The 10,449-nt window shown below is 46.2% G+C and overlaps 1 protein-coding gene across 1 annotated transcript, besides 2 other annotated features; it reads left to right on the forward strand.

The window, feature by feature from the left end:
- Positions 2,624–2,703: an enhancer, noted in NCBI's record as "active region_28745". NCBI's record gives its function as "activates an Ori minimal core promoter by ATAC-STARR-seq in GM12878 lymphoblastoid cells {active_cell/tissue: GM12878}" and the evidence as "EXISTENCE:reporter gene assay evidence [ECO:0000049][PMID:35858748]".
- On the forward strand, positions 8,767–9,434 carry TAL2 (TAL bHLH transcription factor 2). Its single transcript, NM_005421.3, has one exon. It carries the CDS (start codon positions 8,807–8,809, stop codon positions 9,131–9,133), a length of 327 nt encoding a protein of 108 aa, NP_005412.1. The 5' UTR covers positions 8,767–8,806; the 3' UTR covers positions 9,134–9,434.
- Positions 8,794–8,883: an enhancer, noted in NCBI's record as "active region_28746". NCBI's record gives its function as "activates an Ori minimal core promoter by ATAC-STARR-seq in GM12878 lymphoblastoid cells {active_cell/tissue: GM12878}" and the evidence as "EXISTENCE:reporter gene assay evidence [ECO:0000049][PMID:35858748]".
- Positions 9,435–10,449: the final 1,015 nt, after the last annotated feature.

A 10,449-nucleotide genomic window follows, 5' to 3' on the forward strand; every position in this document is an offset into this window, starting at 1 on the left:
TTATGCAACACCTTTTAAATTTATAATAAAACTGTATTGTTTGTTTTGGAGGTGGGTAAGGTGGGTGGCGGTGTGACAAACAACCCCAAAGTCTCAGTGACTTACAACAATAAAGATTTATTTCTACTCATGTTATATGGTTGGTTGTGGTTTTGCTCCATGGCATCCAGGCTGCACGAGCAACCCCAAACATAACTTTCTCATGGCTGAGCCCATCCAGCAATCCCAACTGGAGTCTTGCTCTATCCCCAGGCTGGAGTGCAGTGTTGCAATCTCGGCTCACTGCAACCCCTGCTTCCCAAGTTCAAGCGATTCTCCTGCTTCAGCCTCCTGAGTAGCTGGGATTACAGTCGTGTGCCACCATGCCCGGCAAATTTTTAATTTTTTTTTAGTAGAGATGGGGTTTTACTATGTTGGCCAGGCTGGTCTCGAACTCCTGAACTCAAGTGATCTGCCCGCCTTGGCGTCCCAAAGTGTTGGGATTACAGGCATGAGCCACTGCAGCCGGTCCAGCAATCCCTTGTAAAGCTTCTGCTCCATCATGATCAATGTTAGGGCTGCTCGCATTCTATTGGCTGATGCAAGTTGTATGGTCAAGCCTGGCAATGGGGCAGGGAAGTATAGTTCCTCCACTTACAGGGAGGCACTGCCAATCACACGGCAGTGAGTGGGGCTATATAATCCTCTCCAAGGGAAGGGAGCCAATAGTTATTAACAATAATACAATGGACCACAATAAAATTTACAATATACCGACTATGTGCTAGGCATACTGCTAAATGCTTTACCTACTTTTTTCTCATTTAGTCCTGACAATTCTGTCATTGTCCCCATTTTACAGATAGGGACTAAGGCAAGCATAAATTCTATAATTTGCCTAGGATCACATAAGTGAATAGACAAGGAATTTCCACCTGGGTAATGTAACTCCAGAGCCCTTTGCTCTTATCCACTAAGCTGCAATTTGTTTGTGAATTTATTGTGCCAGGTCCTATACCAGATCTTTCAGAGAGAGTGGTACCTGGGAATTCATTACTTATTCATTCATTAATCAACATCTGATGAACACCTGTTCACTGGGAGTAGATGGGGTAGGGAAGAGGCAGAGAAGATAAATAAGTAAATAATACTCAAGTGGGGATGAGTGTTAAGAAGAATAAAGCAAACAGAAGGATGAAGACTCTGTGTGTGTGTGTGTGTGTGTGTGTGTGTGTGTGTGTGTGTGAGCAATTTTAGTTTTTTTTTTTTTAAGAGACAAGGTTTCACTATGTTGACCAGGCTGGAGTGTTGTGGCTATTCACAGGTGCGATCATAGTGCACTGCAGCCTCAGACTCCTGGCCTCAAGCTATCCTCTTGCCTCAGCCTCTGGAGTAGGTGAGATTACAGGCTCACTACCACGCCAGACAGATGGTGCAATTTTAGATATTGTGGTCACAGACTTCACTGAGAAGGTGCCATTTGAGTAAAGACCTAAAGAATGTCAGCTCCTTGAGGGCAAGGACTTGTATCTGTTTTGTTTGAAGTTGTGTCCCCAGCAACTAGAACAGGGCCTGGCTCATTGTAAGCTCTCAGTAATAATGTGTTGAACGAATGAAAGGAGGTTAGGGAGGGAATCGTGGATAACTTGGGGGAAGAGTGTTTAAGGCCCAGGAAACAGTCAGTGAAAAGGCTCTGAGGAAGGAGAGTATCTGGTGAGTTCCTGAAACAACAAAGAGACCAGAGTGGCTAGAGCTGAGTGAGCCCCAGGAAGAGAAGAGACAGACAGCTCAGGGGGATAGAAGGTATCTCTGGGCCCATTTTAAAGGCTTCAGCTTAACTCAGTGAAATGGAGAGCCACTGAGGGGTTTTGAGCAGAGAAGTGACCAGAATCTGACTTGTGTTTTCATAGCATCATTCTGGATGATGTTGGAGAACAGACAGAAGGAGGCAAGTCCAGAAGCAGGAAGACCAATTAGGAGTCCCTTCCCTCACTGAAATAACCAATATTAGTGCTGGGCATTGTGGAAACTGAAATGGATAAATTCGGGAACCTGCCCAGTACAGTGAATGTTAAATTCTGCTGTGCATCTTAATCTCCTGAAATACTTAGGTTTTAAAAATGCAGATTTCAGACCACACCCCCCATCCTGAAAAATCCTAGTTTCCTGGGTCTGGGTTGTGGGTGTTGGGATCCTCCTTCCCCACCTGTGATTCTGAAGCAAGTTGTTGCTGAACTCCAGGTGGAGGCTCACTGGGGCTTCATAAACATCTGATGAATTAACAACGGATACGGACTTTCCCAGGGTTGAATGTGTTGGAGAAGGAGGTTGGTAAGCGGCTCCCCCAGCCCAGGTGGGTGGCAGGACCCCCTTACCGCCCCCAAGTATCACACGAGGCGGGGCTCTCCTTCCTCCCTTGCTCCCTTTCCAGGGCACAAGAGAGAGTTGGTCTCCGGAAGCCAGGGCGCGGAGAGTGGGGAGGAAACGGTGGGAGTCCCCGTCGGGAAGGGGCCCCCGGGCCCCGCGAGACAAAGGGCGGTGTCCTATAAAGGCGGCGGCGGCGGCGGCGCGGTGTCCAGGCGAGGGCGCACACGGCCGGCGAGGGCGACGGCTACGGCGACGACGCGGGCTCTTTGCGAGGAGGTGCGTGGACTCCGGGGGGACATGGGCGCAACCAGGGCCGGGCTCGTGGGCCTGCGGGTCTCTCGCTGAGCCATACTCACCCGGGAGAGCAGGAATGCGGCGGAGACTTGGTAGCGGCCACCGAGCCAATTCGGTGGGAAGACCGGGGGACTTTCCGCGGGGCAGGGGCGGTGGCTCAGCTCCGGGGGTGCTAGGCCGACTCTCTAGCGTGTTGGCGGGCCCGCGTCGCTTTTATGCGTGATGCCGGGGACCCCCTTGTACCGCTCTCGGCGGCGCATCTCCCAGAGCCCTTCAAGGAGCTCGCGCGTCCCCGAGCGACTCCCGGACACCTGGCAGATTCGAAACTTCAGCCACTAGATGCTTTCCTGGACTCCCTAAATACTTAATCATTAGGCAAGGCAATGGTTTGCAAGGGGGAGCAAAAGTTATAAAAAGAAAAAGGGAAAGGCCTGGAAGCGAAGCGGGCAAGGGAAGAAGCTTGGGCAGAGTATTCGAGATGCGTCCAGGCTGCACGGTGCAGGGGTCGGGTGCATCTTAGAACAGGTGGCTCCCCCAGCGTGAGGCTACTGTGAACGGCGCTGAAGAGCAGTATTCATACTGTGTGCTGCTGATTTAATATATCAACATGCAGAGTTGTGTAAGTGAGAAAAGCGACTTGCATAATATATATGGTGATTTTAAAGGGTGTGTGTGTGTATGTGTGATACACACACCAAACTGGCTGCGGCTGGGGAGTGAGACTGAGTAGCTAGACAGGTAGGTAGCCTTTTATTCTTTACTTGAGGCACATATGTATGCTTGATATTTTTTTTCTTAAATGAGCTTGTATTACTTCTATAAATAACTTCAAAAGGCAGAGTTGTGCCTCATATTGCAGGTTAAGCACTGTTCCCCAATCTAACTATATAAACCACCCTTCATGGCGAGTATTTTCACTTACTTTCAAGAGAAAGGTGAAAGAAGAGACAAATGCACCGGACCAAATGCCAGGAAGATAAATTTAAAGTGGAATGAAGAAAGAGCTGTATGTGAGTGAATGCCTGGGACAGGCCCCCCAGTGTTAGCTGTGAGCCTGTGCTGCACCCTCTCTGGTGAACCCGGTCTTCGTGTCCAGGAACCCCTGGCACAAAAAGTAGCAGCTCCTGTTAGGGGCATTGGTCACCTCCTTGGGGGAGTGTGTCCTTCTTTTCTCTGCTAATGTGTTACCTTCAGTAGCGACAATATAAACAGAGAATTTATGCATATCCATGTTCCTGGCGTTTCTACCTGACTTTCCTCCAACCTAGTCATTCTTAGCCTGGGATACACAACCCCCATCCACCCAGGAATATAGAGATAGAATTCAGGGGTGCTATGAATTTGGATGGAGAAAAATTACATCTTTACTTCCACTAACCTTTCATCTAAGCATAGCGTTTCCTTTATTTATGAATGTGGGTAATAAACTGTAGTAGTATTAGCCGTGGTGGTGAATTTGTCACCAATAGAAATCATAGATGCATGCATTTCATGTCACAGATGTTGCAGATCTTTTGAAAACATCATTTACATACCACTTTTTAGAGATTATCGTAATAAGTCTAGTTATTTAATGTGTTAAATATGAAGCACATGTATTGCTATATTGTATTTTAAGTTATTTTAATAACTACTAAATATAGTTGGTTGTTTTCTGTGTCTATGTATTTTAATTTATGGACTTAAAATAATTATTCTGAAATGAGAACCAAAGCCTTTTTACTTTATATATTTAAAATCATTGTTCTGAAAACAAATCTGTCCCTAGGCTTCCCCAGACTGCTAAAAGGTCCATGGTACAAAAAAGGTTATGAACCCTGACCCGGCAGGAGTCCTCAATGGTGACATAAATGCATCAATATCCAGGCCTGGGACACAGGCTGTACCACTGATTCCCTGTGTGGCCTAAATGCTTCACGTCTGTTTTGCCATCTATCAAATGTTCTCTGATTCTGTGGCATCTAGTGTATTTTTTTTTTTAGCTCTTACATTACTCTGAGATCACGATTAGCAGCAATCACTCCTTGCGACTGGAAAAACACTAAATGCAGTGCTTTTCCAGCTTGTTAAACCACTGATTTCTATTTCCCCTGTGGAGAAGGAGAGGAACACACTTGAGGATAAATCAACAAGGAATGATTAAGCACCTCCTAGGATGGCAGACTACATTTCAGAAGCTAGTGTTCTCTGTTTTTTGTTTTGTTTGTTTGTTTTTTTTCCTGTCTGTTTCTAGTACAATAGGATAGAGCCCTCTTAGAAAAGAACACCATCGTTAGTTTATCCTGCCTAATCTTTTTTCCTCCCAGCTTGAAAAAGACCCCCCCATGGGACTATGGTTGACTTAGTGAATGAGCTAAACCCTGTTGTGATAAGAGAAGCATGAATGTAACTTTGCTCCTGCAATCCCAGCCAGTGTCAGTGTGGACAAAACTGGATAGTTTTCTACCTTAAAATCCCCTTGATTCAGGTTTAAACTTTTATATTTTAGGTATATACTTGGGTATAGTTCTGACAACACTCAAATTTTCATTGTAGAACCAAAGGTCAGATTATTCAGAAATGACTTAGGTTAGATAAAAGGCAATGTGGCCTGGCATGGTGGCTCACGCCTGTAATCCCAGCACTTTGGGAGCCCAATGCAGGTGGATCGCCTGAGGTCAGGAGTTTGAGTCCAGCCTGGCCAACATGGTGAAAACTCATCTCTACTAAAAATACAAAAATTAGCTGGCTGTGGTGGCGGGCACCTGCAATCCCAGCTACTTGGGAGGCTGAGGCAGGAGAATCACTTGAACCTGTGTGACGAAGTTGCAGTGAGCCGAGACTGTGCCACGGGAGGCCAAGGTTGCAGTGGGCACCAAGATTGGCCACTGCACTCCAGCCTGGGTGACAGGAGCAAAACTCCGTCAAAAAAAAAAAAAATGGAAATGGGTGGGGCATTGTAGCATTTCTGAGTTGAATGAGGTCCTGGGGATCACCTGGCCCACCCCTTTCAGTTTTGGAAGGAGACCTGGCCTGCCTGGGAACCCGCTAGAATGCCTGGCTAGCTGCTGCTTCTCTGCTCCTGCAGTCGCAATGCTTCCCTCACACGTTAATACAATCAGCCAGCTCCTCAACACTCAGCAGCAAGCACAATACCTGGCTCGTAGTGTCAGTAAATGTTGGTCCCAAAGCTTGGAGTGCATAGTATTGTAATTGGTCCATGGGTCCAACTAGGAATGTCTCCACGGAGAGAGGATGTGGGTGCAAGAGGACAGTGCGGGGAGCCGGAAGCCATGTGGTGACCTCGGGCTGCGGTGCTTCCAGTTCACCATGAATTCTTAGCACAGCACTGGACTCCCCAACCCAGACACAAGCAGGAAAGGCAACAAGAAAGGAACTAGGATGGGGAAATGTCCCGGGGGGCATAGAGATGATTGAAAAATGCAGTTGGTGCAGTGGTTCGCCTGTAATCCCAGCCCTTTGGGAGACTGAGGCGGGCAGATCATGAGGTCAGGAGATTGAAACCATCCTGGCCAACATGGTGAAAACCCTTCTCTACTAAAAATACAAAAAAATTAGCTGGGCCCAGTGGCGTGTGCCTATAGTCCCAGCTACTAGGGAGGCTGAGGCAGGAGAATCACTTGAACCCAGGAGGCAGAGGTTGCAGCGAGCTGAGATCGTGCCACTGCACTCCAGCCTGGCGACAGAGCGAAACTCTGTCTCAAAAAAAAAAAAAAAAAAGATTTTATATATGTACACATAAAACAATACCAAAAAAAGAATAAAACACCACAAGTCTCCTTTTTTTCTCTTCTCCCAATCTACTGTCCTCTCCCAATGAACCACTGTTGACAGTTTGGCCTGAATCCTTCCAGGTTTTTGCTCTACACACACACACACACACACACACACACACACACACACACACACACCCATATATTCCTGTAAAGTGAATCAAAAGAGCACATAAACAAAGCTAAGACCTTCTCTAATGCATATAACTTCTTCATTAGGAAGAAAATGATAAATTACAACATTTATTTTTCACTGTTTTATTTTTAAAGATAATAATTGCAATCATTAATTTTCTTTTTTTTTTTGAGACAGTCTCGCTCTGTCGCCCAGGCTGGAGTGCAATGACGCGATCTCGACTCACTGCAACCTCCACCTCCTGGGTTCAAGTGATTCTTCTGTCTCAACCTCCTGATTGGCTCTGACTACAGGCGTGCGCCACCACGCCCTGCTAATTTTTGCATTTTTAGTAGAGATGGAATTTCACCGTGTTGGCCAGGCTGGTCGTGAACTCCTGACCTCAGGTGATCTGCCACCCCCCCCCCCCCCGACTTGGCCTCCCAAAGCGCTGGGATTACGGGTGTGAGCCACTGAGTCCCGCCAATCATTAAATATTTATTGAGCCTTTAATATGCACTAGACACTGAGCTAAGGTGCTTTATGTGTATCATTTCATGTGTCCTCACAATGATGCAGTACTCCTGTACTGATCTTTACTTATGAGGCATTTGAAACACAGAGAGGTTAAGTAGATTGCTCGTCACACAGCTAGGGTGAGTATAACCAACAGCCAAACCGGGGTTCTGGCCTTGGAGCCTGTGCTCTTGACCACCATGCATATGGTTCCACTGATGGCTGAGTTACGTGAAGACTCCTGTAGAGTCAGGGCTTGGAAAGGGAAGATCTCACCTGCTGTTTAAAGAAATAGGTAAGTAGAGAGTGGGGAGGAAATTCAAGGAACAGAAAATGACAATGTGCGAAAGTGTAGAGTTGGGAATATTCATGAGTCTTCGGAGGAACTAGAAAGGGCCCAGTGCCCAGAGGAGCTGAGCGTGGAGCAGGCAGCAGACCAATAGCAGTAAGCCAAGAACATCAAACTGCCTGGGGCTAGACTTGGGCTTGTTTGCCAGTGCCTCCCAAGTGTTCCTATTAGCACATGTTAATCCAAGCCACTTGAAAAAAGGGACTCTTGCCTCTAAGAGTGAAAAATGCCTGCATAATGCTCGGCAGTATGTGATGATAAACCACTCTCCTAGACTTGGAAAGGTCATCCAATGCAGCCCCAAAGAGGCCCAAGTATCTTCTACAGAATCCACGCCAAATCACCACTCCCACCTGCCCCTTGTCTTTTCATTTTTGCGAGACTAAATACCCCCACTTCTGTTCTTCATACACCAGGGTTTCAAGACCCTTCATCATTCTGTTCCTGCTCCTCTAAATATAGTCCAGTCTGGATATTTTAGTTCTTACAGAGAGGGGCTGAATCCTCCAGGTGAGGTCTGCCAGCTAACAAGAGAGCTGTATTGTCTTCTCTATTCCAAATTTTATTTTATTAACGAAACCTACAATCATTTTCTTTTTTTACTTCATTCTGATAATACATTGTTGATTCATATTCAACTCTCTGTTGGTGGCCGGGCATCGTGACTCACGCTTGCAATCCCAGCACTTTGGGAGGCCGAGGCGGGTGGATCACCTGAGATCAGGAGTTTAAGACCAGGCTGGCCAACATGGTGAAACCCCATCTCTACTAAAAATATAAAAACTAGCCAGGCGTGGTGGCAGGCGCCTATAGTCCCAGCTACTCCGGAGACTGAGGCAGGAGAATCGCTCAAACCCGGGAGCTGGAGGTTGCAGTGAGCTGAGATGGTGCCATGGCACTCCAGTCTGGGTGACAGAGTGAGACTCCATCTCAAAAAAAGAAAAAAACAAAAAACAAAAAACAAACTTTCTATTGGCCAAACATATGTTGCATTTATACATAAACTCAATCAATATTGTACCTGATTCTGAACAATTAGGAAGAGTTGGTTATAAAGGAAGAAACAGGAGTATTGGGACAAAGCAATCTTTCAACTGGAGGCTTCAAAACAGCCAGAGAGAAAAAGCTGAAGGGTGTTGTTCTTACCTTCCCCTGTTGTTTTTAAGTTAAAAAAAGAAATTATGCATAATTCATAGCGTCACTGATGCCTCGAAAGGTGAGAGGCATATGTTTGTGTCCCTGTGGGGTTGTTTTCTTTTTTAAAAACCTGAAAATGAGGAAATGAATCTCGTAAGCTCTGAGTCGAGAAAATCTAACATCTCAGGTTCTTGGCAGGACATGTGATACCAATCAGGCCTCTTATAAGATATTGGCCCTGAGGGCCCTTTCTCTTTCCATCTCAGGAACTCAAACATGACCAGGAAGATCTTCACAAATACCAGGGAGCGGTGGAGGCAGCAGAATGTCAACAGCGCCTTTGCCAAGCTGAGGAAGCTCATCCCCACTCACCCTCCAGACAAAAAGCTGAGCAAAAATGAAACGCTTCGCCTGGCAATGAGGTATATCAACTTCTTGGTCAAGGTCTTGGGGGAGCAAAGCCTGCAACAAACGGGAGTGGCTGCTCAGGGGAACATTCTGGGGCTCTTCCCTCAAGGACCCCACCTGCCAGGCCTGGAGGACAGAACTCTGCTTGAGAACTACCAGGTTCCTTCACCTGGTCCAAGCCACCACATTCCTTAGTGTGGCTCTGGCTGTCATCTCCCAGGGCAGCACTTGCCCAGAAATCACTGCCTGTGGACAGACTTTTGCATGTTCCAGAGTTGACCTGATGATAACTCGTGAAGCATGAATTCTAGCTTCCTGGGAGGTGGCTCAGAGACAGCTGCAGGGAGCTGAAAGAAGCCATGAGGAATGTCACTTGTGGGCCGCCACCCCCCAGGGATGTCAGGTAGAGCGGCCTACCTCTGCCTATTTTAAATCCAGGTTCTGCATAAGACTTTTGGAGAAAAAATTCTAAATAAAAAAAAAAAAAGGCTGAAAATCACTGTTTATACTCAATGTCTTCAGTTATAAGAAAGAAGTTTTCTCATAATGGATCTCAGATGAATAAGTAGAATATGCTTCCTTCAGAACATATTTTAAAGTTTGTTTTGAAAAATGAGATTTGATCAAGGGTGAACAAAATAAATCTTAAGATTGATGGGCCGGGCACGGTGGCTCACGCCTGTAATCCCAGCACTTTGGGAGGCTGAGATGGGCAGATCACCTGAGGTCAGGAGTTTGAGACCAGCCTGGCCAACATGGTGAAACTCCGTCTCTACTACAAATACAAAAATGAGCCAGGTGTGGTAGTGCGCACCTGTAATCCCAGATACTCAGGAGGCTGAGGCACGAGAATCGCTTGAACCCGGGAGGGGGAGGTTGCAGTGACCCAAGATCATGCCACTGCACTCCAGCCTGGGCAACGGAGCAAGACTCGCTCTCAAAAACAACAATAACAAAAAAAGTTTTCTCATAATGGATCTCAGATGAATGAGTAGCAGCATATGCTTCCCTCAGAACAGATTTTAAAGATGGTTTTGAAAAATGAGATGCATTTGATCAAAGGTGAACAAAATAAATCTTAAGATTGATGAATAGAAAGATAACCCCTGCAGAAACCAACCTGGGAGACTTGCGGGAAAAATCTGTGGAGAAAAGACACCCCCCGCCCCCCGCCCACTAAGGTGTGGGGATTACAGGAATGCAGCAGAGATATGTGGAACAGTTCTGTGTCCTTTCAACTCTGTAGAAGTGTGAGGTGCTACTTGTGCTGAGCCATTTGTACATATGTGACTTCTAAAGGCAAATAGTGGATTATATCTGTGAGACGAAACAACTGGATAATTTATGTGTTAGGGCTCGTAGTTTTCTTACGAAAAACAGTTAGCTGAAATAAGTTAGCTAAAGCCTTCACTTCACATGTCATGCATTAAAACGTTTCACTCAGCCTGAACTCCTGCTGATTCAAGACCTGTAAAATTCAATTATAATTATGAAAATCCAAACATTACCAT

The sequence above is a fragment of the Homo sapiens genome, chromosome 9 (genome assembly GCF_000001405.40).
Source record: "Homo sapiens chromosome 9, GRCh38.p14 Primary Assembly".
In the NCBI taxonomy this organism is placed as follows: Eukaryota; Metazoa; Chordata; class Mammalia; order Primates; family Hominidae; genus Homo; species Homo sapiens.

What these genes read in the sequence shown, in the direction of transcription:
- TAL2 (NM_005421.3), top strand. Translation starts at nt 8,807, where the DNA reads ATGACCAGGAAGATCTTCACAAATACCAGGGAGCGGTGGAGGCAGCAG.